Genomic DNA, 26404 nt, shown 5'->3' with positions numbered 1-26404 from the left:
AGCAAGGGATTTATCGAAGTCAGCTCAGTTTCTGAGTATACACAGAATTCAAATAAGAATTGAGATAGTTAAGAGATACCTATATTTTAAAAATTGAATTAAATCCATTGAGTGCCTATGGACTGTATCCTTCAGATCATGTAGTTAAACCGCCTCATTTTAGAAGTGAGGAAATTAAGTTTCAGAGAAGTTAAATGACTTTTCTAAGATCACCCACTACCTTACGTGGTATAAGAACTAGGACTGAATTGTAGATCTCATCCACATCTAGTCCTTTTTTCTCTACACACTGCTTCCTGTCAATCAGGTGATCTGAAGCCGGTGACCTAGATTAGACAAGCGGGGTGGGACCTGGGGTTGGCTTCAGTTAACTAGGAGGACAGACGCCTCATTCATACCAACAGGACAGAAGGCTGAGGATGGGAGCCCACATTCAAGTGGGTGGGTCAGCTTGGTGGATGGAGGATGTGGAGTTCTTTCATGAATGTGGCTTCTGTTTTCCAGTGAAGTGTGTAAAACAAGGTTTTCAGCTGAGCGTAAGCACGGGGAACATTTGAGGAGAAGGGACAAGGCGTGGATGCTTTCTCTGGGGAGTGCCCAGATCCAGGGATGCAGGCGGGTGGCTAGGCAGCACCAAGTGTCTGCGCCAGGTTCCTGGTCATGGGTGTGAGGTCAGCAGTGAGCGGTGTGTGTTTTCCCTGGGCAGCGTTTACGGTGTGGCCGCGGGCACCGTGCCAGCGACAGTTGGTAGGGAAGGGAGTTGAAGTACAGTGGCGCCATGGTGGCCTGCTGAGTCTGAGCTGACCGAGAGGGAAAGGAGCAGCAAGAAGTGGTTAAGGGACAGGGGAGATGTAATAATAGGGTCAACAAATCAGGCCCCTTGTGGGGCTGAGAATTGTTGCTTCAGGATAGCTAGAGAAAGAGCTGGGAAGGTGGTGTGGTGGGACGCTGGCAGTTGGTGTGTTCTGGTTTCGTGGGATAGTGGAAGTCACTGGAGTGATGGGGGAGGGGGATTCTTGGTGATTAGGAGAACAGGGTACTTCCTGTGGGGCTTCTGAGAACAGGGGCAGTTTTTCATGACCACAGGACTGCATTTCAAGGACAGGGTCTGGGAGTCACGGTGGCTCAGGCCTGTTGTCCTGGTGCATAAGGAGGCGAGGCTAGGCTTTCGAGGCCAGCCTGGGCAACATAGAAACCTCCAATCTGTATAACAAAAAAGGAAAAATAAAGGACAGGGTCTGACAGTTCTCCTCCCCACTCAGTGTAGGAAGAGTTCCTGCTCCAAGTGGCCATGATTCCTGTCTGTGGTGAAGGACTGGTGGGGTTGACCCTGGGCTGAGGCTGAGGGCAGGAAGACGGGCAGGAGAGGAGAGGCCAGGAGATAGGGAGGGCAGTTTGTGGATTGAAATGACCGAGAATTACGCCACAGAGGTGTTGGAGGCTGGCATCGTGGCATCTCAGGAGCACGGAGGGTGCCTTCCCCACTTCAGGCCTCTTAGTGTCAAGGATGTGAGAGGCAAGGGCTGCTGGGAGAGTATGTCCCGTAGGAAAGGAGGAAAGATAGTGCCAGAAGTGAAGAGGGACCCTGAGGTCAGAGGACACTGGGGTGGGGGTCATGGGGTGGAGTGGGACAGGAGATGGTGGTGAGTCTGGGAGTGAGGACTCTTCGGGCGTCTCCTGGTGCCTGAAGGAAACAGGGTCAAAAGCACAATCGGAGGCTGGTTATGGTCTGGGTCAGGAGGGGTGGACAGTGGCCTTACTGGGCGTCGGGGGGCCCTGAAGTTCTGGGGCTCACCAGAACCCCTCCTCCTCCACCAGTAGGAGGGCAGGGCAGGCGGCACGCCCTCCTCAGTCCGTAAAATACTCTCGGAGTTCGGCTTCACACTAACACTGTGATTGGGTTTCTTTCTCTTTTCAGACTGCTGTGGATGTTTTTCGAAGGATAATTTTGGAGGCAGAAAAAATGGACGGGGCAGCTTCACAAGGCAAGTCTTCATGCTCGGTGATGTGATTCTGCTGCAAAGCCTGAGGACACTGGGAATATATTCTACCTGAAGAAGCAAACTGCCCGTTCTCCTTGAAGATAAACTATGCTTCTTTTTTCTTCTGTTAACCTGAAAGATATCATTTGGGTCAGAGCTCCCCTCCCTTCAGATTATGTTAACTCTGAGTCTGTCCAAATGAGTTCACTTCCATTTTCAAATTTTAAGCAATCATATTTTCAATTTATATATTGTATTTCTTAATATTATGACCAAGAATTTTATCGGCATTAATTTTTCAGTGTAGTTTGTTGTTTAAAATAATGTAATCATCAAAATGATGCATATTGTTACACTACTATTAACTAGGCTTCAGTATATCAGTGTTTATTTCATTGTGTTAAATGTATACTTGTAAATAAAATAGCTGCAAACCTCAGTCCTTTGTGCTACTTGATGTGGCTTTCAAAGAAGAGAAGCCTTGTCCTGAGTTTCTCACTTGGCTTCAGGAAGGCCCCAGGTTGGATTCCAGAAACCAGTGAAGATGTGGCCACAGGAGGAGGTGTGCTGAGGTGGCTGCTGACCGTGGACTCCCTGCGCAGTGGCCTGCAGATGTTGGGGCTGGGTTACAGCTGATTGAAGCTGAGTGGCCCTGGGGGGTCTGTGAGGGGAGTTCCTCCCCAGTGATGAAATTCTCTCCTTCCACCCTCAAATCCCTAGACCTTGACTGAAATGCTCCGTGGTCGGGAGCCTGGTCAAGGAGGAGGAGCTGCTGAGAGGCATTGTTCGCCCTTGCTCATAGCTTAGCTCGATGTCCGTGTCAGACAGGAGATGATTGAGAACAGCCTTGCCTGTCACTGTCCTAGAACACCCTGGAGTTTAGTGTTCTGTGTCAGAGTCTTGGGAGCCTCCTTCAGACCCAGATGACGGGCCTCCCTCTGTCCAAGGAGCAGCTGTAAAGGAGAAGAGGGATTTCATTTGTTTGGTGGCTGTTACCTTGTCTGTAAGTCAAACTTGGAGTTGAGCAGTGCTTTTTAAACGATTCCCTTTTGCAGCTAAAATTTCACAGGGCTATTTCTAATACGTAAGCAAATGTTACCATTGACTTTATTAATAAAATATAGTTTTGCTTTGCAGTTGATTGTTAATGAAAAATTATGTTCTTAAAACACATGCCATTAATTTGGATCTTTTAAATATTTTTGCCTCATTTGTCATTCCAGGATGAAATTTCTGCTTTAGAAGACTTCCACCAAATACATTTTTAAAGACAGGGTCTCACTCTGTCACCCAGACTAGAGTGCAGATCATAGCTCACTGCAGCCTCAAACTCTTGGGCTCATGCTCAAGTGATCTTCCTGAGTAGCTAGGATTACAGGCCTAAGCCACTATGCCTGGCCAAATAATCACCTTTTAAATTTTGACAACACAGTATTGTTACTTATTACCAGGGTTATTCTTAGGACTAAAAATGTAAGAGCACTGAACAGAAAATGGGGACCTAGTCCATCCAGTTATGTCTATGTAAATGGAACTTAGAACAGCATATTGTACTAGAAACTCAAGTTCAACTGAACTCTCCTGAGGTGGTCCTTTAAGGACTGGACCTCCTGAGTGGAGGGAGCATAGTATCATTTCTTTATGTGACGCAGTGCACACATTCCTTCAGATATGCCCTGGGGACCTGCCATGTGCCAGACACTTCTCTGAGTGCCATGAACACAGCAGAGAAACCTGCACCCCTGTGTGCCGTCAATCCTGCGCTGAACCTTGGAGATGCCACACAGGGTAGGCCCCCGTCCAGCTGCCCAAGGCAGCAATCCCAAGAAGACAGTTGACTCGTTTACTTGATTGAGCATTCGTGGTTTTGTTTTTTTGTTTTGGTTTGGTTTTTCTGACACAGAGTTTCGCTCTTGTTGCCCAGGCTGGAGCACAATGGCACAATCTCAGCTCGCTGCAACCTCTGCCTCCCAGGTTCAAGCAATTCTGTCTCAGCCTCCCAAGTAGCTGGGATCACAGGCGCATGCCACCACACCCGACTTATTTTTGTATTTTTAGTAGAGACGGGGTTTCATAATATTGGTCAGGCTGGTCTTGAACTGACCTCAGGTGGTCCGCCCACCTCGGCCTCCTAGAGTGCTAGGATTACAGGCCTGAGCCACTGCGCCTGGCAGAGCATTAGTCTTATAATCAGTGATAAAACATTGTCACTGGGCATGATGCATGTGCCTGTAGTCCTGGCTACTCAGGAGGCTGAGGTGGGAGATTGCTGGAGCCCAGGCGTTCTGGGCTGTAGTATGCCGTGCTAATCCTGTGTGTACACTGAGTTCGGCATCAATACGGTGACCTGGGAGCTAGGGACCGCCAGGTTGCCTGCGGAAGGGTGAAGCCATCCAACCTGGAAACAGCGCTCAGAACTCCTGAGCTGATTAGTAGTGGGAGTGTGCCTGTAAGTAGCCACTGCCCTCCAGCTAGCAACATAGCCAGACCTGTCTCTTAAAAAAAAAAAAAAAAATTGTGTTGAAAAGGTAATGCTTTTCTTTGTGGTACGTAAGTGTAGTCTTAGATTTATTGAAATACAGGAAGTGCAACTATAAAACTATATCCAAAATATTTTGCAGTTCAAAATTAAATTTTAAAATACAAATTATAAAATCACATTACAAATTAAAATTAGTGTGATAGAATTTTGTTAAAACTAAATTGTCCATCCACTCTGGACATCTCTCCCCACTGGTTCACCAGCCATGCTCTTGCCTGAATGGCTTCTCACCTGCTTGTCACCAAATCTAGTAGTTTCCGGTTGCTTTCTTGACCTCTCGGTAGCATTCCACACAGTTCACCGCCGTCTCCCCTGCGTCATCATTACCCCACCATCTCCTGGTCAGCCTGCCAGCTCTGCTGGTGCATTGGTCTCCTTGGCTGTTCTGTATCAAACCTCTCAGCAGACCTTTTTTCCTGCCTACACCCTCTGCCTTGATACTCTTCAAGCATAGCTGTAACTCTGTGTAACCAGAAGAGTCCAAAATGTCTATCTCCCACCTTGACCTCTTTGGGCTCCAGGCTGATCTTGACAGACTCTCTACTTGGGTGTTTTATAGGCATCTCAAGTTTACTATGTCCAAAACTGAATTCTTGATTTTCCTTGGAAACCTGGTCCTCTCTTGGACTTCCTGTTTCAGGAAATGACACCATTATTCACTGGGTCCGTATGAAAATTAGCAATTTGGGAGCTGTTCTTTATCCCTACCCTCATACTTCCCATCCGATCCATCAACAAATCCTAAGGGCCTTGCCTTCAAAAATCTACCTTGTGTTTTGTCCATTTTTGTCTCCACTGCATCCTGGTCTGCAATGGGACACCCTCTGAGCCCCTACACCTCAGCCAAAGCCAGCTTGTAAAAACAGTATCATGTTGCTCCTTTGCTTAAAATCCCTCCGTGATGATTGTGCCAAATCCGTGTGTCCCAGCCTCAAGGCTCAGAGTGACCTTGCTGCTGCTTAGCTCAACCCTGTCTAGTTAGTGGCCTTGATCAGTTTCCAGAGCCAGAAAGCTCTCTTAGCCATGGGGGCTTCTGGGGCTCTTTCCTTTGCCTGGGACACCCCTTCCCGAGACTTCTAACCCTTCAGATCTCAACATTGTCTCTTCCCAGGGGCTTCTAGGATGGCCTGAAGCACCCCTCTCTGTGAATCTATCCAAGCACTCATGTTTTATCATATGGTACAGCATGTGTCATAACTGATCATCACTTTTGTTCCTTGTATTGTGTATGTTGTGTATTACTCGACTAGATTTGGCTGGAGTGGAGACAGTGTCTCAGACATCTTTGATTCCAAGCTCCTCCTAGCACAGAGCCTATAAAATAGATACTTTCTACTGTGCCATTTTAATTTCCTTGTAGTTTGTGTGTGTGTGTGTGTGTGTGTGTGTGTGTGTGTATTTTAAGTTATTAGCAGTTGCCCTGGGAATTACAGTTAACATCTTACTTTATTATAACACTCTAGTTAAGATTCATACCAACTTAATTTCAATAGCATACAAAAGCTTGGCTCCAGTTCCTCTCTCATTTGTGCTGCTATTGTCATGCAAATGACATTTCTATATATTATATGCCCATCAGCACAGGCTTACAATTGGCTTATGAAGTTGCCTTTTAAATCAAATAGAGAAAAGAAGTTACAATTAAAAAATACATTGATGTTGTCTTTTCTACATGCTTATGTGGTTGCCTTTACAGGTGCCCATTATTACTCCTCATTAGGATTCAAGTTACTGTCTAGTGTCCTTTTCTTTCAGCCTGAAGGGCTCCTTTGGTATATCTTCTAGAGCAGGTCTGCCAGCAATGGGTTATCATGGGTTTTGTTTATCTGGGAATGTCTTCTTTATTTTTCAAGGATAGTCTTGTTGGGTATAAAAGTTGGGGGGAGAGTTTTGCTGTCAGCACTTCTACTTACCCAACTTATTCAGGTATTTCATGAGCAGCACTCAGCCTGGAGCCTGCAGGCTCTTGTGTAACCCCAGAAACATAATGGCTTCCCAGGCCCCCTGTGGGCATCTCATTTTCCAGTTTCTGTTAGCTTGTTGTTTGCCCCAGTGTCAACTAAATTGCTGCTGATTGTTTTGATAAACGTCCCCAGGGAGAAAGTGCTGGGTGAGCCTAGCTCAGAGTCAGGTCACAGGCTAGCTTGCAGGTGGAACCACCAGACCAGGCAAATGAGGTCACTGAGCTCCAACCCCAACTTGACCCTTCCTGTGGCTGCTAAGCTGCTGAGTTTTATGGGGATTGCTGCTGTTGCTTTCAAGGCTACCAGGGAGCTCAGGGGCAGAGGTTTGGAGGGCTGTGAATAGGGCCAGTAAAAATGCCACAATGCTCACTGCTCTGAGGTTCAGCCAATTTCCTTCAACACTCCCTGGATTGTTATGAGCCTTTGGTTAATTTCCGGAGCTCTGGAAACGTTTATTTTTTTGGACAGTTTTTGCCAGTGTTCTCATTAGGTTCCTGGGGTCCTTACTGCACAGTTCCTGATGGTGTGGCTGCTGAATGAATGAGCAGAGGCGCCTTTGTAGGGCACCACCTTCTGGACAGGTTCTTTTGAATTTAGCCTGCACCTGTTGCTGTGTGATTAAAATTCCCCACCATGTATACAGTGCATTGTGCTGCCATTTGACCTGTCGTTATTGAGTCCACCTGACACCAGCTCCCAACAAAGAAGGGCTGCTCCTGCTCAGTGCCCTCTGCCATTGTTAATACAAACAGACTGAGATTGCAGCTGTACCCAGAGGTCTGAAAGTCACTCAGATGCCCCAGAATGTGCTGCTGCCTCATAGCAATGCTTGTAGAGGTCTGGGCTCTCAGGGGAATATCTGTAGTGCCTGCAGGCTGCTGCCCCAGTCTAAGAGGTGTGCACACTGCTGCCTTGCCCCTGTGCCAGAGCCTCCTCAGCAGAGCCTGAGGTTCCAGGAGGTGTGTGTGCTCGCAGAAGCCTCTGGATGCTGTGGTTACTCCGGTTGCCCACACTGCCTAGCAATCCTTGAACCAGGATGCCTTCAAAGCATTCCTTGGGAGATTCCAGAACCATTCCACCTCGTTACCCTCCCCCAAGAAGGGGATGTTTTATATAAAGAAAAAAAACAATTTTTGTGTTGCCCATCCTCCCTACCTCAATGACTTCCTAGAGGGCAACAGAATGGCCAGGTGAGAGCTGCTGTGGGGTTAGAACTGGAAAGAATCAGATCTAATTTAACATCCTTGTTTTCAGATCATGGAACCCGAGGTCCAGAGAGGTCAAGGGGCAGCTACTTGATCCCCCACTTAGTCTGTGTTTCCACCACACCACATTGGGACATAGCCCATGAGCCTGTCCACAGGGAACCCCAGTCAGAGCTTCATCCCCAGTCAGGGACAAAGACTTGGAACATTCCGGTCCTGGCCCCCTCTACAGCTAATAAAAACCTTTGGGCAACTCCTTTATATTTTGTGATCTTCTTTTATTTTAAAACTTCCCTTCACCAGGGATCGTTGTCACAGCCAAAAGTATGAAAACCCTGGATGTTTCCAAAGTGCTATAGAAGCACCAAGCCACAGTCCTGAGGACGGGTGTGCTAACCTCAGACTGCCAGCTGGAGCTCTCACCTGGTGTCAGGGTCCCCGTGAGTTTCTGCAGCTTCACGAGTGCCCATGATTGTGTATCTCCAGCAGCAGTCGGTGCTGTGGGTGGCTCCGGAATCCTGCAGTGCTGCCATCTTATTCCTGGGCTACACATCCAAAGCAATACGGAACACCACGACTTACCCCAGCAAACGAGTTTACCAAATCCGAGAAAAAATATTTCATTCCAGTCTGGCCCAAGGCATCAAGAACAGTATGATCTACTAAGAACTACCAACACAGTGATCCGAGGATTGCAGGCCCGCCCTCGTTCTCATGTCCAGCATGCTGAAGGTTGCCTGTGCGGTGTCACTATTGGTCCCCAGAGCTCAGTCCCACACCTGCCCAGCCAGACCCTGTGGCAGCGCAGCAGATTGTGTCCTGGCCAGGGAGGCTGCTGACCTGCCCAGTCAGCTTCTGAGCGGTGGGACCTCAGCTCCTCATCTGCAAAGGAGAGAGTCGCCTGGGAGATGACTCTGAAGGTCCCCCCGGGTCCCACATCTGCCACAATCTAGGAAACAGTCTTGGATTCGTAGTTTCACAAGAAATAGCACAGGATTCGGGAAATATTGTGGCCTCAGCAGCCAAGACCTTTCACCCAGTTCCTCCTACTGCCCAAGAAAGCCCCGGGCAGAGCTGTGCCTCCTGATTTATTCCCTACAAGAACACAACAGCCAGCTGGCAGGCTCCTGCGAGGAGAGAGCCTCTGCCTGCACCGCGTGGCTGCCGCCTGGCGTTCTGTATATCCCTCCACTCCCCTCCTGCTCCCATCATCATCAGATCAGCAAGGAATTCAAGTACATCAGCACAGGACTCTGTGGCTGCCTTACGGGGCGCGGTTGACGAGGGTGATATGTGCTGAACTTTACCCTAAAAGGCTCAAGCAGGAGGACAGCAGGGAGTTACAACTGGAGCAGCGGAAGGTCACATTCCTTAGCTCTGACGTCGGGATTTTTATTATCCCATAACAGAAATCGTTCCAAGGCGCAACCTTTTCTGTGTCTGGGGCATTGTTGTAAAGTTGTAGAATGACAGTAACAGCTCTAAGCCAGCGCAGCCGCCTGGCTCGGCAGTTACCACATATTGGCTTGTATCAGAGTGACCTGGATGGCTCGCTGACACAGGCTGGCTTCCCCCGCACAGTCCCTGATTGCAGAGGCCCCGTCAGGTGCAGGACATCTGCATGTCTTCCAAGTTCCAGGGACGCTGCTGCTGCTGCTGCTGCGAGCTCAGGGGCTGCATTTTGAGAAGCACTGGCTTGGACAATAATGGCACAGGGCTCTTATTGTCCAGATTAGGAGGGAGCACGGGCCGGAGTGACAGGACTGTGGGACCGCAGAGGTGGCCAGGCCACTCACCACCCCCTGGGGACTTGGACTGAGGGGGGCTGTGGGTTGAGTTGCCTCCCGGCAAAAGGCATGTTGAAGTCTTCATTCCCAGTACCTGTGAATGTGACTCTATTTGGAAATAGGGTCATTACCAACGAACAAAGTTAAAGTGAGCACATACTGGATTAGAGCAGACCCTAAACCAATGGCTGGTGTCCTTAGAACAGTGGTCCCCAACCTTTTTGGCACCAGGGACCAGTTTCATGGAAGACAATTTTTCCACGGACTGGAGTTGAGGGGATGGTTTCAGGATGAAACTGTTCCATCTTAGATCATGAGGCATTAGTTAGAGTCTCATCAGGAGCATGCAACCTAGGTCCCTCGCACGCACAGTTCATAATAGGGTTCGTACTCCCATGAGAATCTGAAGCCACCGCTGCTCTGACAGGAGGCAGAGCTCAGCTGGTAATGCTTGCTCGCCCCCTGCTCACCTCCTGCTGTATGGCCCAGTTCCTAACAAGCCACAGACCAGACCAGTCCATGGCCTGGGGGTTGGGATCCCTGCCTTATAAGAAAAATAAATTTGGGGCCGGGCACGGTGGCTCACGCCTGTAATCCCAGCACTTTGGGAGGCCGAGGCGGGCGGATCATGAGGTCAGGAGATCGAGACCATCCTTGCTAACACGGTGAAACCCCGTCTCTACTAAAAATACAAAAAAATTAGCCGGGCGTGGTGGCGGGTGCCTGTAGTCCCAGCTACTCGGGAGGCTGAGGCAGGAGAATGGTGTGAACCCGGGAGGTGGAGCTTGCAGTGAGCCGAGATGGCACCACTGCACTCCAGCCCAGGCAACAGAGTGAGACTCTGTCTCAAAAAAAAAAAAGGAAAAAAAAATGTAGACACAGAGAGGCAGAGACTGGTATACCAAGGACTGCCAGCACTTCCAGGAGCCAGGAGAGGCCTGGAGCAGATTCCCCTCTGAGCCTCCAAGAAGAAACCAACCCCCCAACACCTTGGTTTCAGACTTCCGGCCCCCAGAACAAGAGAATACGTTGCTATTGTTGTAAGCCACCCAGTCTGGGTTACTTTGTTATGGCAGCCCCAGGAGGCAAACAAAAACAGAGGGCTCCTTCAATGTGTGGCTTGCAGTTGTTTCTTGTTTTTGTGTGTGTGTGAGAGAGACAGAGTTTCGCTCTTGTCGCCTGGGCTGGAGTGCAATGGCGTAATCTCAGCTCACTGCAACCTCTGCCTCCTGGGTTCAAGCGATTCTCCTGCCTCAGCCTCCTGAGTAGCTGGGATTACAGGTGCCCACCACCACGCCCAGCTAATTTTTTTGTATTTTTAGTAGAGACGGGGTTTCACCATGTTGGCCAGGCTGGTCTTGAACTCCTGACCTCAGGTGATCCCCCGACTTTGGCTTCCCAAGGTGCTGGGATTACAGGCGTGAGCCACCACGCCCAGCTGTGGCTTGCAATTTTAAGACCAAGAGAGCCCCTGGCAAACTGGGGCAAGAAAGGATAAGGAGCCCAAATGACAGCTAGCCAGAACTTTCATGTCTACAAAGGAGAAAAGTGATGCTCAAAGTTGTGATCTGCCAAGAGTCGCCAGTGATATAGTTTGGATGTGTGTTCCCTCCGAATCACATGCTGAAATGTGATCCCCAAGGTTAGAGGTGGGGCCTGGTAGGAAGTGTTTGGGTCATGGAGGTGGATTCCTTGTGAATGGTTTGATGCTGTTCTCATGTTAATGAGTGAGTTCTCGCTCTGAGTTCATGCAAGACCTGGTTATTAAAAAGAGTCGGGGTTCCCCTCCCAATTCCACCTCTCTTGCTCCCTCTCGCCACATATGCTGGCTCCCCTTCACCTTCTGCCATGATTGGAAGCTTCCTGAAGCCCTCACCAGAAGCAAATGCCAACACTATGCTTCGTGTACAGCCTTCCGAACTGTGAGCCAAATAAACCTCTTTTCTTTGTAAATTACCCAGGCTCAGGTATTCCTTTACAGCAACGCAAATTGACTAATACACAAAATTGGTACTGAGGAGTAGGGTGTTGCTATAAAGATAGATACCTGAAGGTGTGGAAGTGGCTTTGGAGCTAAGTAATGGGAAGAGGTAGAAGAGTTTGAAGATGCTCAGAAGAAGACAGGAAGACAAGGGGAAAGTTTGGAACTTCTTAGAAACTTGTTAACTGGTTGTGACCAAAATGCTGATAGAAATATAGACAGTGAAGTCCAGGATGATGAGGTCTCAGGTGGAAATGAGGAACTTATTGGGAACTGGGGCCAAGATCACCCTTTACACCTCAGCAAAGAGCTGGGCTGCATTGTGTCCAAGTCCTGGGAATCTGTGGAAGTTTGAACTTAAGAGTGATGACCTAGGGTATCTGGTGGAAGAAATTTCTAAGCAGCAAAGCATTCAAGATGTGGTGTGGTTGCATCTACCAGCCTACGTTCAGATACAGGAAAAAGGAAATGACTTAAAATTAACACTTACATTTAAAAGGGAAGCAGAGTGTAAAAATTTGGAAAATTTGCAGCCTAACCTTGTGGTAGGGAAGGAAAAGCGTTTTCAGGAGAGGAACTGAAGGGAGCTGAAGCAGCCACTTCCTAGAGATTTGCATGACTAAAAGGGAGCCAAGCGCTAATGGCCAAGACAATGGGAAAGGGCCTCAAAGCCGTTTCAGAAGTCTTCAGGATAGCCCCTCCCATCACAGTCCCAGAGGCCTAGAAGGAAAGAAAGGTTTTGTGGGCCAGGCCCAGGGCCTCTGCTACCCTGCTCAGCCTCAGAACAGTGTTCCCCACATCCCTGGCACCCCAGCTCCAGCTTTGGCTCAAAGGGCCCCAGGTACAGCTCAGGCCACCACTTCGGAGGGCACAAGTTGTAAGCCTTGGCGGTTTCCTTGTGGTATTAAGACTGCAGGTGCACAGAGTGCAAAAGTGAAGGAGGCTTGGCAGCTTCCACCTATATTTCCACCCAGAGTCCCTGCAGAGAGATTACTAGGGCAATGCTGAGCAGAAATGTAAGATGGACCCTCCACGTAGAGTCCCCACTGGGGTACTGCCTAGTGGACCTGTGGAAATGAGGCCACCACCCTCCAGACCCTAGGATGGTAGAGCCACCAGCAGCTTGCCTAGAGGAGTTACAGGCACTCAAGTCCAACCTGGAGAGCAGCCATGGGGGATGCAACCTGCAAAGTCTCAGGGGCAGAGCTGCTCAGGGCCGTGGGAGCCCACCCCTCACACCAGTGTGCCCAGGATGCAGGACATGCAGTCAGGGAGATGATGTTGGAGCGTTGAGGTTTCATGTCTATCCTGCTAGGTTTCGGACTGCGCAGGGCCTGTCCCCCATTTCTTTTGGCCAGTTTCTCCCTTTTGGAAAGGGAATCATTACTCAATGCCTGTACCACCATTGTATCTGGGAAGTAAATTGTTTTTTATTTTACAGGCTTATAGATGGAAGGAATTTGCTTTGAGTCTCTGATGCGACTTTGGACTTGGGACTTTTAAGTTAATGCTAGAAAAAGTCACGACTTCAGAGGACCAGGGAGAAGGGATGGTTGTATTTTGCAATGTGCGAAAAACATGAGATTTGGGGGGTCAGGGGTGGAATGATATGGTTTGAATGTGTGTCCTCTCCAAATCTCATGCTGAAATGTGATCCCCAGTGTTGGAGGTGGGGCCTGGTGGAAGGTGTTTTGGTCATGGGGGTGGATCCCTCATGAGTGGTTTGGTGCCTTCCTCACAGTAATGAGTGAGTTCTCATTCTGAGTTCACACGTGATCCGGTTGTTAAAATGAGTCAGGGACCTCCCCGTCTGTCTTGCTCCCACTTGCCGTGGGGTACACTGACTGCCCTTCATCTTGCACCATGATTGGGAGCTTCCTGAGGCCCTCACCAGAGGCAGATGCCAATGCTATGCTTCTTGTACAGCCTGAACCAAATAAACCATGAAGCAAATAAAGCTCTTTTCTTTATAAATGACCCGGTCTCAGGTATTCCTTTACAGCACTGCCAACGGACGAACTCAGCCAGAAAATCCATGTTATAACCAAGACGAGAACCCACGTTTTCTAACAGCTGTCCAGGGTCCCAGTTGATTCACACACATGCGTGGATCCATGTATATACGCATGTATGCACATGTCAGCAGCCCTGAGATGGCCACCTGGGGGAAGGTGTTGCTTAGTGTCGATTGAGATTCAGCAGTTCTGGGGTAGAGCCCTAGACTTGGCACTTCTGATGAGTTCAAGGTGACCTTGGTGCTGCTAGACTGGGGGCCACACTTGAGCCCCTCGTGAAGATGCAGCACCTGCTTTCAGAAACGCTTAGCCCTCCCAGGGGCCTCGCGGTTCACGGTGAAGGGAGACCTGAAAGTGCAGGCTCCCAGGAAAGGGGAGGGGCCTGGCACTGCGGGGTGCCCGCTCTGCCCGCCGCTTCTTCATGGCTTTGCAGGGAAGGTGGCAAGAGACAGCGCACAGCACGTGTCTGACATCACCCAGCAGCGCAATGACAGCCAGGTCCTTGGAACCCCAAGCCGGGCATGCAGGCTCCATAACCCCTGGAACTAGAGTCCTTGTGGGATGTGAGGCCTTGCTGTCATGTTTTTTTCTGTTTCCACAGATCCTGGTTTTGAGGGGCAATTGGACAGCGTCTTCCTCACATGCAGGCCCTTGGGCTCCAGGGCTAGAGCCCCCTTTCCTGCCACCTGTCACCTGATGGTGGCTGGCCCACAGCTCCTTGTGGGACTTCCTGAGGGTGCCCGCAGCTCCCCTGCGGGCTCAGGACACAGACGCTCTGTCCAGTCTTTCTCCTCTGTCTTCTGCTACATCCTGCTTGGATTTGAGGAGTGCTGTGGTCTGAACATACCCCCTAAAATTTAGATATTGAAACTTAATCACCAGTGTGATACTAGGAAGAGGAGAGGCCTTTCCAAGGGGGAGGAAGTCTGAGGGTGAAGCCTCACGGATGGGCTCTGGGCCCTTATCAAAGGGCTTGAGGTAGTGGGTCCACTCTCTTATGCCGCGTGAAGACAGACTGTGCCATTGGTGAGAAACAGGCCCTCACCAGCCCCTGCCCCTGCGAGCACCATAACCTGGACTTCCCAGACTCCAGAACTGTGAGAACATGAGTTTCTTCTCCTTCTAAATTACCCAGTCTCAGGAATTTTGTTACAGCAGTGCAAGTGAACCGAGACGAGGAGGAAGGCCTGGGAAAGCCGCTGTCTTCCACATTCCACGCGTGGAGCTCCTGCCGCAGGCCGGTTTTAATTAAAAAACAAAAACAAGGCTGGGCACGGTGGCTCACACGTGTAATCCCAGCACTTTGGGAGCCTGAGGAGGGCGGATCACTTGAGGTCAGGAGTTCGAGACCAGCCTGGCCAAAATGGTGAAACCCCATCTCTACTAAAAATACAAAAAATTAGCCGGACATGGTGGCTCATGCCTGTAATCCCAGCTACTCGGGAGGCTGAGGCAGGAGAACTGCTTGAACCCGCGAGGCAGAGGTTGCAGTGAGCTGAGACAGCACCACTGTGCTCCAGCCTGGGCAACAGAGTGAGACTCAGTCTTGAAAAAATACATAAATAAAAAAACAAAAGCAAAAACTTTGAGAGGCCGAGGCAGAGGATTGCTTGATGCCGAGAGTTAGAGATCAACCTGGAAAACATAACAAGACTCAGGCTCTACAAAAACGTGTAAAAATTAGCCAGGCATGGTAGCATGTGCCTGTGGTCCTAGTTACTTGGGAGGCTGAGGCAGGAGGATCACTTGAGCCCAGGAGTTTAAGGCTGCAGTGAGCTATGATAGCACCACTGCACTCCAGCCTGGGTGACAAAGCGAGACCCTGTCTCAAAAAAAGTTAAAATAATAAAAAATAAAAACCCTCTCTTGATGTGAACCCCACAAACGTCTCATCTCATCCTGCATGTGGTGCTGCGGTGAAAGCCACATCCCTGCTGATAGGAGCTCCTCTCCTCTCTCCTCCTCCTGCCTTTGCTCTGCCACTGGCCCAGTGTTCAGACTCGTCCTGAGCCACTCGGACTCCACCGGGACCAAATGGTGATGCAAAGGCGCAGTGGCCTAGGTCAGGAGGCAGGCTCCCATGTTGTGCTTTGCCACCCCGCCCCTGGCTGGTGTGGGACCACGTGCTGTGTGGCCTGCCCCCCGCTGCAGGCAATCAGACCAGGAGTGAGCTGGGCAGGGACCCCACTTGGCCCCAAGTGAACTGTCCGGGGCTCCCTTGTTCAGAGCCATGGACCCAGAGATCCTGAAGGAATGAGGCTCTAGCCCGGAGGGCTGTAACGTGAGAAGCAAGCGAGGCTGTGTGCACCAGAGTCCTGAGGTTGGAAGACTGAGCATGAGGACACACGCTGCTGCAGCCTGGGACCACAGCTGAGGGGACTGTAGCGTCTGCAGTGGGGCACTGAGGGGGTCACCGTGGACCCCAGCTGCCGCAGCCCCTGGAGCTCCCTGCTTGGTCAGTACCCTAGGGCCTGGCTGTGCACAGTCCCTGCTCTTGGAGTCAGTCCTGCCTTACGCCCAGGAAAGAAGCCTGCGCCTCAGGGACCAGCACTCCCACCCTCACCCCCCAGAACCTTGGAATGCCTTCCTTAATATTCAAAAATGTCTAAGTCTCTCCCTGGTTGCTGGGACTAGCCAAGGCTGGTGGTGCCATCAGGTGGGGGCCCTGAGCTAAGCTGGGCCCCTTTGGGGCATTCTCCAACCCTCCACACACCCCCAATGAGTGGGGTGTGTTCATGATGCAGATGAGAAAGCACGGCGAGAGGGCGTCGCTGCAGATGAAGCAGGCTCGCACGGTTCCAGTTTACCCCGTGGATGTCTTTATGCCAATGCGTTTGACATTTTAGATGGAATAATCAGTAGACTAGAAGAGCATAAATTACCGATATTGACTCAGGAAAAAAATAGAACACCTGGCTAGAACTAGACCTGTTACAGAAATGGAACCTGGAAGTCAAAAATCTAACCCTAGAATGGCATCAGGCTGGGACCGTCCAGAATTTTTAAGGAACAAACTCTTCCCAGAGAGTAGAAAGTGACAGTCCCTGTCATCTTTTATGAAGCTAGCAGAACCTGCATCCACCACCCAGAGAGGAGCCACAGGCGCTGACCTCCTGCCTGGGGAAGGGACAAGTGGGAGCAAAGAATCAAACCCAGGTGACTGCATGACTTCCCACACCTAGCGGGCGACGGGAGGTGACAAAGAGCAGAAGACACACAGCAGCTGCCAGGCTGCCCCCATCATCAGGAAAAGCAAAGAGAGGCAAAGTCGTGCAGTTGTTCCCTCAGGCCCTGGCAGGCACAAAGCTGCTCCTCCCACCCTCCCGCTCCCTGTCTCCCAGGGCCACTGGCTGCTCCTGAGTCCACTCCAGCCCTCCCAGGAGCCCAGCCTGAGGGTGCCCAGGGCGACTCCGGGGTTCCCTGCCACTGCGGCCAGCTGTCCTGTCTGCCGGTGCCGGGCCGCCTGAGCTGTGGGCTCTCAGGAGCACCCCACGCTCACCTGGTGACCAGTCCCTCTGCTCCTCTGGGAGGAGCTTGCTCATCTGTGAAATGGGTTAACCGCACAGAACCCTGCCAAGATGGTGGGCTTGTTGTGAGCTTCAAAGTGGAGACTAATTAAACAGTGAGAATTCATTAAACACCAAAAGATCAAAACGCGATGCCATGGCCCCCACACCCACTTTGCTGTTGACCCTCATGGTGGGTCTGTGTGGAGGGATTTCACGTGCACCTTTCCCAGATCAGGCCACGGAGACACAGGGCCAGGAGCCCTGGTGGGGACAGTGTGACTTCGGGTGGTGCCCCTGCCTCACAGCAGGGACTTGTGGCACCTCAGGATGATGGACAGCCCTGCTCCAGGGGGACAGCGGCACTGGGACCACACGGGGACAGAGGCAGGGGACGCAGCACAGAGCCCCCCTCCCTGGGCTGGATCAGGCAGGCCCTTCCTACCCTGTGAGGCCAGGGCCTCCCTCCCCTTGGTGACATACATCTTTCCCAACTAACCAGAGCGGGGACAGGCTTACTGCCCGGGATGGCACTCAGGCTGGAGTGCAGTGGCATGATCTCTGCTCACTGCAACTTCTACTTCCTGGGTTCGAGTGATCCTCCTGCCTCAGCCTCCTGAGTAGCTGGGATTACAGGCGCCCGCTACCACACCCAGCTGACTTTTGTATTTTTCGTAGAGATGGGGTTTCACCATGTTGGCTCTGTTGTGCAGCCCCCACTTTGCCCATCCTTTCATCTGGTGGCCAGGAACCTTCCAGAGCCTCAGGAAGGGAGCAGAAGCAGAGGCGAGTTGAGGGCTGGTGGTGGAGAGCACTGGCTGTCTCCCTGCTGAGGCCCAGCTGGTGCTGAGAAGAGCCCTGGCTTGGGGCCCCTGGCTCAGAAGCTTCACTCCTGCTCCCTGTGGTCAGCAGAATAGTGACCCCCAAAGATGTCCACGTCTTAATCCCTGGAACCTGTGACTGTGGCAGAAGAGACTTTACAATCATTTCAAACAAGCAAAGACTGAGAGTGTTTACCACACAGAGGCTACTACTAAATGAGTAACTGAAAGACATACTTCAACATGAAGAGGAGAGAAACCCAGGTGGAGGGTACAGGATCTCAGAGACAATAGTGCAGTTAGTGATAAGATGTATTGGTAAGTTTATTAACTAGTTACAGTCTTTCAAATGTGTTCTTGCAAAAAGGAAAATTAAAACTATGGATTGTAATATCAACTTGGCGGGAGAGAGCTCTTCTTTGCTTCAAGAGTAAAAGAAATATCGGAGAACTATACTTTCTTTTTTTTTTTTTTTAGATGGAGTCTATCTCTGGGATTTCAGCTGTGAGTCCCTGCGCCTGGCTTTCTTGTCCTTTTTAGATGACCGCTTTGCTTATCTCTCTGAACACCCCAAATTCTTGTCTTAAAGTCTTGTCAGATTGTGCTATAAATGTGTTCACTTTTTTTTTTGACGGAGTCTCACTCTGTCGCCCAGGCTAGAGTGCAGTGGCACAATCTTGGCTCACTGCAACCTCTGCCTCCCGGGTTCAAGCGATTCTTCTGCCTCAGTCTCCCAAGTAGCTGGGATTACAAGCGCACGCCACCACACCCGACTAATTTTTTATACTTTTTGGTAGAGACAGGGTTTCCCCATGTTGGCCAGGCTGGTCTCGAACTCCTGACCTCAGGTGATCTGCCTGCCTCAGCCTCCCAAAGTTCTGAGATTACTGTATTCAATCATTTTAAGTGTAAACTTTGATGAGTTTTGACAAACGTATCCACCTGTGTGCCTACCACCACAATCAAAATATAGAACTTTCTATCACCCCAAAAAATTCCCTTGTGCTGTGTCTGAAAATCACCATCTCTGCCACCACCAGCTTTGGACCAGGAGGCCGCTGGTGTGCTGTCTGGCACCAAAGAGCCCTGTATCTTGTCCAGAGTCTCATACACACAGAGCCACCCAGCGTGCAGGCTTCTGCGTCTGGCTTCCTAGGCTCAGCGGATGTTTCTGGGATTTATTCATGCCATTGCGTGTATCGAGGGTTTGTTCCTTTTTACTGCTGAGTGGCATTCAGTTGTATGGATGAACTACGATGTAGTTATCATTCGACCATTGGTGGATGCCTGGACTGCGTCCAGGCTGGGGTTGTGATGAATAAAGCTGCTATAACATGTGCAAAGCTGGGGGTCTATGTTTTTACTTCTGTTAGGTAAACACCAAGAGTGGAATTGTCAGTTAACATGGTAAGCGTATCTTGACTTTATAAAAAACTAAAGTAACTGTACCATTTCACACACCCCCCAGCAGTGAGTGAGAGTCCCACTTGCTCAGCACCCTCAGCGACACTTGTGATGTCTCATTGTGCTTTTAATTTGCACTTTGATGGGTAGCTTTTAAAGGATGAGCATATTTTCAGCCTTTGAGTCATTCGATCAGGATGTGTTGATGACTTAGGTGAGGAAGAAGGAAGTGAAGTGAGATCTAAAATAAGAACATGAGGCCAGGCACGGTGGCTCACACCTGTAATCCCAGCACTTTGGGAGGCTGAGGGGGGGCGAATCACGATGTCAGGTGTTCGAGACCAGCCTGGGCAACATGGTGAAACCCCGTCCCTACTAATAACACAAAAATTAGCCGGGTGTGGTGGCTCACACCTGTAGTCCTAGCTACTCGGGAGCCTGAGGCAGGAGAATTGCTTGAACCCAGGAGGCAGTGAGCTGAAATCGCGCCACTGCACTCCAGCCTGGGCAACAGAGTGAGACTCTGTTTCAAATAAAATAAAATAAAGTAAGAATATGAATAGATAAAGCTGGTGTGCTTTTAGAACTGCACAAAGGTGAGGAAACGTGTGCGTTATAATTCTCTGTAGAGGTTAAGGGCACCAATTCTGGATTCGAATCCCAGCTTCACTGCCTGCTTGCTGTGTGACCCTGTGACCTTGTGCAAGCTACTCATGCAGGCTGGGCCTCACTCCCCACAACTCTAAGATGGGGATCATGACAGAACCCACCTCCTAGGATTGTTGAGAGAATTAAATGACTTAATATATGTTAAGCTTTAGTTGGTGCTGGCTATAAGTAAGCACTATGAGAATTCGAATTTATTATAATTCTAAGCAGATGTGGTGGCACCCGCCTGTAGTCCCGACTACTCGGGAGGCTGAGGCAGGAGGATCGCTTCAGTCCAGAAATTCAAGACCAGCCTGGGCAACATAGGGAGAGCCCATCTCTAAACAAATATAACGGCAATAATAATTCTAATTCTAAATCCTCCCGCGGCCGCCCTGGGGCGTGTGGTGATTGTGCCCACCACGAGGGGTCAGGCTTCAGCAACTTTCATTTACCCGAACCTCGCTGGCTTTCAGGGTGGGAGACCCGGGGACTGTCTTCTGGGGCGCAGACGTCCCGCCTTTCCTTCCCCGCCCGAATCCGATGACCCCCGGAGCACTGCAGCCCCCTCCCTGACGCCGGCTGGAAACGGGGCGCAGCCAGGGGGCCCGGGCTGGCGGGGCGACCCCTGCAGAGGCCCAGGCCCAGCTCACTTGCAGACGGGCTCACTTGCAGACGGGCTCACTCGCAGACGGGCTCCCTCGGAAGGGCAGGGACTCAGCCTAACCGGGCTCTTTACACCCCCTTCCTTGCTGCCTGCCGGCGGCCACGACGCCAGGGCACAAGCTGGGTCCCCAGCAGGGGGCGAGGCTCCTGGAACCGCCCCGCACCCCCGCCGAGCTCCGCTGGGGCCCTCGGCCGGCGCTGCAGCCTGGCGGTGCTGGCCTTCGCGCATTTATTCCCTTACTCATTCACGCACTCATCAGTGTCCTCCGGGGCTGACCCGGCGCAGGAGGCGGAGAGAGGAACCCGCAGCCCGGTGCGGAAGCGCGGAGCCCAGGCGGGAGCTGCAGGCCTGGCGACCACGAACTGCGCTTCGCTAGCGGAGCGTTGGGCAGAGCGGGCATCGCTGCCCCATGCAGCCCTGGACCGCGGACGGAGTCTAGTCTCCCCGCTCTCGCCCACGCCTGAGCTTTGGTATGCAAAGTGTTTCCAACTTTTTGTTCGTTTATAAATATCTTTAATAAATATATATATTGAGACGGAGTCTCGCTTTGTCGTCGCCCAGGCTGGAGTGCAGTGGCGCGATCTGCAACCTCCGCAGCTCACTGCAACCTCTGCCTCCCGGGTTCAAGCGATTCTCCTGCCTCAGCCTTCCGAGTAGCTGCCACTACAGGTGACTGCCCCCACGCCCAGCTAATTTTTGTATTTTTAGTAGAGACGGGGTTTCATCATGTTGGCCAGGCTGGTTTCAAACTCCTGACCTCAGGTGATCCGCCCGCCTCGGCCTCTCAAAGTGCTGGGATTACAGGCGTGAGCCACCTCACCCGGTCTCTCTCTCTCTCATGTATATGTATGTGTGTGTGTATATATATATATATATAATTTAAGTAGAGACAAGGTCTTACCGTGTTTCCCAAGCTGGTCTCGAACTCCTGGGCTCAAGCAATCCTCCTGCCTCGGCCTCCCAAAGTGCTAGGATTACAGGTGTGAGCCAGCGCGCCCAGCCCGTTTGTAAACATCTTTTGAGCGCCTCCTCCTTGGTGTCCACAGCTCTAGCGCTGAGCGCCTCGCCCACACAGATGCGATGGTACCCGCTGGCGAGAGAGGTTGGGGAGTGGGGCTGGGGGGAGGCGCGGGCAGCGAGACCAGGTCCTTGAGCCCTGGGAAGCTCAGCTCAGGTGTTGGGACCGCACCCCAGGATGGGTGCAACATCTCAGGAGGCCTGATCTCAGGGTCCTGCGTGTCCTGGTCCCTGCTTCACTTGAAGGGCCATGGGAAGCCATTGAGCAATTTTAGGTAGGATCACATTATAGGTTTTAAGTGAGTATTCACATTAGAGCACCTAGGAGCCCCCCATTTGTAATGTCTTGTCTTTTTTTTTTTTTTTTTTTTTTTTTTTTTTTTGAGACAGGATCTTTCTCTGTTGCCCAGGCTGTACTGCAGTGGTGCAATCTTGGCTCACTGCGGCCTCGACCTCCTGGGCTCAAGCAATCATCCCACCTCAGCCTCCCTAGTAGCTGGGACCACAGGCATGTGCCACCATGCCCGGCTAATTTTTTAATTTTTTTGTAGAGACAGGATCTTGCGTTGTTGCCCAGGCTGATTTCAAACTCCTGGGCTCAAGCAATCTTTCCTCCTTGGCCTCCCAAAGCACTGGGATTACAGGCATGAACCACCTTGCCTGGCCTGTAATGTCTTATTTCTTAAACTGGAAGGTAGATTTGCTGCCTGAAATGACTCATAATATATATATAGGGAAAGGAGCCGCTCTTGCTGTGGGTGGAGAACGGTCTGGAGGAGCCCAGAGCAGACAGACTGGGATGCTGAGAGGCTCCTGCAGCAGTTCCACTGGTACTGACAGTGGCTGGAGCTGGGAGTGGGCATGGAGAAGGAAGTGGGGAAGGGGGCAGAACCTGGGGGTCTCACACAGTGGTGTCACATACAGCCTCAATTTGGAGGGGAGTCCTGAGTCCTGTCTCTCAAACGCTACCCAGGATGGCCTCTCCCAAGCCCCAGGACCACTCTGCTCCCAAGAGCATTAGGATGACGCTGGAGGCAGGGGGCTACTGGGAAAGTGCCTCCCCTCAGCCTGTCACACACACCCAGAGCTCCAGAGTGAAGGGCTGGAAGGGCCTCATTGCCCACTCACATGACTTTGTATTGAATTAGGGCAGGTTTGGGAGTAGCAACAAACTGGGAAAAGTCTAAAATGAACCCACACAACAAGGAATAGACAACAGCAAAGGAACAGATAGCGGACTCACACACACACACACAGCAAAAGAATAGATAGCAAGTTAAAACACACACAGCCAGGCATGGTGCCTCATGCCTGTAATCCCAGCACTTTAGGAGGCCAAGGCAGGAGGATCCCTTGAGGCCAGGAACTCGGGACCAGCATGGGCAACATAGTGAGACCCCGTCTCTACAAAAAATTTTAAAAACCTAGCTGGGTGTGGGCGTGTGCCTTTAGTCCCAGCTACAAGGGAGGCTGAAGCAGGAGGATGCCTTAGCCCAGTTGTTTGGGGCTGCATTGAGCTATGATCGTGGCACTGCACTCTGGCCTGGGTGACAGAGTGAAACTCTGTCTCTAAAACAAAGAAACACTTGCACACACACAGGCACACACACATAATCAATAAGGAAAGACAGAAAAAAATGAGCAAAGCATATGAACAAGCAATTTACAAAAGATCCAATTCAAATGAACGCTATACATTTGAACTGATGTTGAGCAACTGGCCTTGGAACTACCAAGGGTAGATCTCATCTGTATGTCAGTGGGGCAATTTGGAAGACCTCTGTGGCATCTAGTGGCTTGAAGGTGAACTCATGCTTCAACCCAGCAATTTCACCCAGAGGCATGGGCCTCAAAGGAGGCAGTATTGGTCCCAGGGTGTGGTTGGAATTTTGTAGGGTGTTTCTGTTTGTCAGAATGCTGGAGGATGGGTGGGCAGGCCCCAGGATGCTGGATATCCCACCACATCCAAGGAGACACTGTCCCACAATTTCCCCTAGAAACGCATAGTATTTTTTGTGTGGCTTTAATATATACTGAAGATTTCCTGGTATGCAATTTATTAGATATATAAATGGAAGATTTTACTTAGTTTTCTGAGGAATTCTACTGAGCTTTGTTCATTCACCATTTCAGAAACTCTTGTCACTAAAACAAAAAACCAAATTGCAGAAGGCTACATATAATGTAGCCACACTAAAAATTTTCTATTATTTACAGATACATACAAAGAAAGTAAAAAGATGAAAACACACAAAGACATAACACAAAAATCAGGACAGTATCTTATCCTTATGGGGAAGGAAGCCTTCAATTCTATGTATAATGATTTCTTATTTTAAGGAAAAACATTGATCCGACATAAACCTGGCAAAATGCTAAGATTTGACAAACTTTGTATGGTGGTGTTATTGTTCCTTATATTATTTCCTATTCTTCTCTGTGCTCTAAATTACCCAAAAACGGGAGAGACAAGAGGCAGAGAAGGGAGGCAGGCAAACGGGTGATGGCTCAGGGTGATTTATTATTAAAACCATTAGCCTCCACGCTGTAAAACTCTCCAATGCTGAGCAGCTACTGGTAGTTCTAAGGCTACATGTTATTGAGATTTTATTTTTTAAGCCATGATAGCATTCTTAGCCTTGCTTCTTCTGTGCTGTCACGATATTTATTCTCAGTCCATTTCCTTAGAATTTTGTCCCCAACTAGCAGCTGTATAGTGACTCAAGATCTCACCTACCTCAAGGTACATTTTAACAGTGCTCTACCAAAGATGACTCAAAAAAATGACTCTGATGTTGAGGTTTGGTGATACTGGCATTTGCATATTATGTAGCTATTTTGGGGAGGGGTTCTACCTGGCCACAAATAGATAATATGAATCTTAGCAGACTCCTCCTCTGGTAACTGAATTATAATAAAATCCCAGGTGGGAATTGAGATATTGCATTAGAAATAGGGAATGGAGGTGAAATTTGCAGGTATCTTATTCATCTACCCATTTTTAATAATTCTTTGCGTGGGGCTTTCAGCTAGGCATTTTTTCATATATATTTCTCAGAAAACACCCCAAATCACTGCTTCTGTTTTGGATTCTGTTGTCATCACCTTTTTGGGTTGTCTGTGTGCTCTGGCCCTGCTGTGATGAGGGCAAATACAAATTAAAAAGAAGAAGTTCAGCTGGGCACAGTGGCTCACACCTGTAATCCCAGCACTTTGGGAGGCCAAGGCAGGCGGATCACTTGAGGTCAGGCATTCAAGACCAGCCTGGCCAACGTGGTGAAGCCCCATCTCTACTAAAAATACAAAAATTGGCCAGGCGCGGTGGCTCACGCCTGTAATCCTAGCACTTTGGGAGGCCAAGGCAGGCGGATTGCCTGAGCTCAGGAGTTTGATATCAGCCTGGGCAACATGGTGAAACCCCATCTCTACTAAAATACAAAAAACTAGCCAGGCTTGGCGGCGTGTGCCTGTAGTCCCAGCTACTCGGGAGGCTGAAGCAGGAGAATCGCTTGAACCCAGGAGGTGGATGTTGCAGTGAGTTGAGATCACGCCACTGCACTCCAGCCTGGGCAACAGAACAAGACTCCATCTCCAAAAAAAAAAAAAAAAAAAAAAAAAAATTAGCTGGGCGTGGTGGCACACACCTGTAGTCCCAGCTACTGGGGAGGCTGAGGCAGGAGAATTGCTTGAACCTAGGAGGCAGAGATTGCAGTGAGCTGAGATCGCATCACTGCACTCCTGCCTGGGGGACAGAGCAAGACTCCATCTCAAAAAAAAAAAAAAAAAAAAGCTCTTAAAACAACAATGAGACACCACTGCACACTTATTTGAATGGCTAAAATCCAAAACTTGATAGCACCAAATGGTCAGAATGAAAAATCATATAGCCACTTTGAAAGAGAGTTTGACAGTTTCTTTTTATTTGATTTGATTTTGAATTTTTTAGAGACAGGGTCTTGCTATGTTGTCCAAGCTGGTCTTGAACTCCCGGCCTCAAGTAATCCTCCTGCCTTAGCCTCCTGAGTAGCTGGGATTACAGGTACAAGCCTCTGCACCTGGCTTTTATTTTTTTTTCAGTTTGTTGCACAACTAAACATACCTGTAACATATGATCCAGCAATCCCACTCCTTAGTGTATAGTGAAAGGAGCACACAAAAATCTACACGTGGTTGTTTATAGAAGCTTTCCTCATAATTGCCAAAACTTGGACACAACCAAAATGTCCTTCCATTGATGAATAGATAACTAAACTGTGGTACTTCCAGACAAGGGAACATGATTCAGCAGTAAAAAGAAATGAGAGACTAGGCCAGGAAAAGATATGAGGGAATCTTAAATGCATATTACTAAGTGGAAGAAACCAATCTGAGAAAGCTACTTGCTGTCTTAGTCCGTTTTGTGCCGCTATAACAGAATACCACAGACTGGGTAATTTACAATGAACACAAATGTACTGGCTCACAGTTCTGGAGGCTGAGAAGTCTAACATCACGGTGCTGGCATCTTTCAAGGGCCTTCTTGCTGTATCATCCCATGGGAGAAGGGCAAAGAGAGGGTGAGAGAGAGCAAGCGGTTGACCTTGTAGCCCTTTATGGTCAGCGTTAATCCATGAATGAGGGTGAAGCCCTCATGACCTAAACCCTTCCCATGAGACCGCATCTTTCAACATTGTTGCATTGGGGATTAAGTTTCCAACACATGTGTTTTGGGGGACACGTTCAAACCGTAGTAGCTACATACTGTAAGATTCCAAATACATGACATCCTGAAAAAGGCAAAACCGTGAAGATAGTAAAAAGATCAGTGGTTGCCAGGAGTTAAGGGGGAGAGAGGGATAAACAGATGGAGCCCAGGGGACTTTTTT

General features: G+C 49.9%; 1 protein-coding gene and 1 pseudogene across 4 annotated transcripts in view, besides 10 other annotated features; both read left to right on the top strand.

The window, feature by feature from the left end:
- RHEB (Ras homolog, mTORC1 binding) overlaps positions 1-3118 on the top strand; it is a 53884-nt gene extending 50766 nt beyond the window's left edge. For all 4 annotated transcript variants that reach the window (NM_005614.4, XM_011516457.3, XM_024446854.2 and 1 more), the window contains one exon: positions 1919-3118. In NM_005614.4, coding sequence (NP_005605.1) covers positions 1919-2011 — 93 coding nt within the window. In that variant the 3' untranslated portion in view covers positions 2012-3118. The remainder of the gene's footprint in view (positions 1-1918) is intronic.
- Positions 3910-4411: an enhancer, noted in NCBI's record as "H3K27ac hESC enhancer chr7:151161805-151162306 (GRCh37/hg19 assembly coordinates)". NCBI's record gives its function as "activates a minimal SCP1, AML or CMV promoter by ChIP-STARR-seq in primed H9 embryonic stem cells {active_cell/tissue: H9 hESC(primed)}" and the evidence as "EXISTENCE:reporter gene assay evidence [ECO:0000049][PMID:30033119]".
- RN7SL76P (RNA, 7SL, cytoplasmic 76, pseudogene) lies at positions 4192-4480 on the top strand (annotated as a pseudogene).
- Positions 6257-6808: an enhancer, noted in NCBI's record as "OCT4-NANOG hESC enhancer chr7:151159408-151159959 (GRCh37/hg19 assembly coordinates)". NCBI's record gives its function as "activates a minimal SCP1, AML or CMV promoter by ChIP-STARR-seq in naive H9 embryonic stem cells {active_cell/tissue: H9 hESC(naive)}" and the evidence as "EXISTENCE:reporter gene assay evidence [ECO:0000049][PMID:30033119]".
- Positions 7909-8576: an enhancer, noted in NCBI's record as "H3K27ac-H3K4me1 hESC enhancer chr7:151157640-151158307 (GRCh37/hg19 assembly coordinates)". NCBI's record gives its function as "activates a minimal SCP1, AML or CMV promoter by ChIP-STARR-seq in primed H9 embryonic stem cells {active_cell/tissue: H9 hESC(primed)}" and the evidence as "EXISTENCE:reporter gene assay evidence [ECO:0000049][PMID:30033119]".
- Positions 9914-10582: an enhancer, noted in NCBI's record as "H3K4me1 hESC enhancer chr7:151155634-151156302 (GRCh37/hg19 assembly coordinates)". NCBI's record gives its function as "activates a minimal SCP1, AML or CMV promoter by ChIP-STARR-seq in naive H9 embryonic stem cells {active_cell/tissue: H9 hESC(naive)}" and the evidence as "EXISTENCE:reporter gene assay evidence [ECO:0000049][PMID:30033119]".
- Positions 11307-12179: an enhancer, noted in NCBI's record as "OCT4-NANOG-H3K27ac-H3K4me1 hESC enhancer chr7:151154037-151154909 (GRCh37/hg19 assembly coordinates)". NCBI's record gives its function as "activates a minimal SCP1, AML or CMV promoter by ChIP-STARR-seq in naive and primed H9 embryonic stem cells {active_cell/tissue: H9 hESC(naive and primed)}" and the evidence as "EXISTENCE:reporter gene assay evidence [ECO:0000049][PMID:30033119]".
- Positions 12180-13052: an enhancer, noted in NCBI's record as "OCT4-NANOG-H3K27ac-H3K4me1 hESC enhancer chr7:151153164-151154036 (GRCh37/hg19 assembly coordinates)". NCBI's record gives its function as "activates a minimal SCP1, AML or CMV promoter by ChIP-STARR-seq in naive and primed H9 embryonic stem cells {active_cell/tissue: H9 hESC(naive and primed)}" and the evidence as "EXISTENCE:reporter gene assay evidence [ECO:0000049][PMID:30033119]".
- Positions 20173-20467: a silencer, noted in NCBI's record as "tiled region #6092; K562 Repressive DNase unmatched - State 4:PromP". NCBI's record gives its function as "represses a minimal TATA promoter and a strong SV40 promoter by Sharpr-MPRA in K562 cells {active_cell/tissue: K562}" and the evidence as "EXISTENCE:reporter gene assay evidence [ECO:0000049][PMID:27701403]".
- Positions 20173-20857: a biological region, named in NCBI's record as "Sharpr-MPRA regulatory region 6092".
- Positions 20266-20745: a silencer, noted in NCBI's record as "silent region_18815". NCBI's record gives its function as "represses an Ori minimal core promoter by ATAC-STARR-seq in GM12878 lymphoblastoid cells {active_cell/tissue: GM12878}" and the evidence as "EXISTENCE:reporter gene assay evidence [ECO:0000049][PMID:35858748]".
- Positions 20358-20857: an enhancer, noted in NCBI's record as "H3K4me1 hESC enhancer chr7:151145359-151145858 (GRCh37/hg19 assembly coordinates)". NCBI's record gives its function as "activates a minimal SCP1, AML or CMV promoter by ChIP-STARR-seq in naive H9 embryonic stem cells {active_cell/tissue: H9 hESC(naive)}" and the evidence as "EXISTENCE:reporter gene assay evidence [ECO:0000049][PMID:30033119]".

Source organism: Homo sapiens, chromosome 7 (assembly GCF_000001405.40).
Source record: "Homo sapiens chromosome 7, GRCh38.p14 Primary Assembly".
Taxonomy (NCBI): Eukaryota; Metazoa; Chordata; class Mammalia; order Primates; family Hominidae; genus Homo; species Homo sapiens.
The sequence above is the reverse complement of the archived record's forward strand: the minus strand, read 5'-3'. Positions and strand labels throughout refer to the sequence as shown.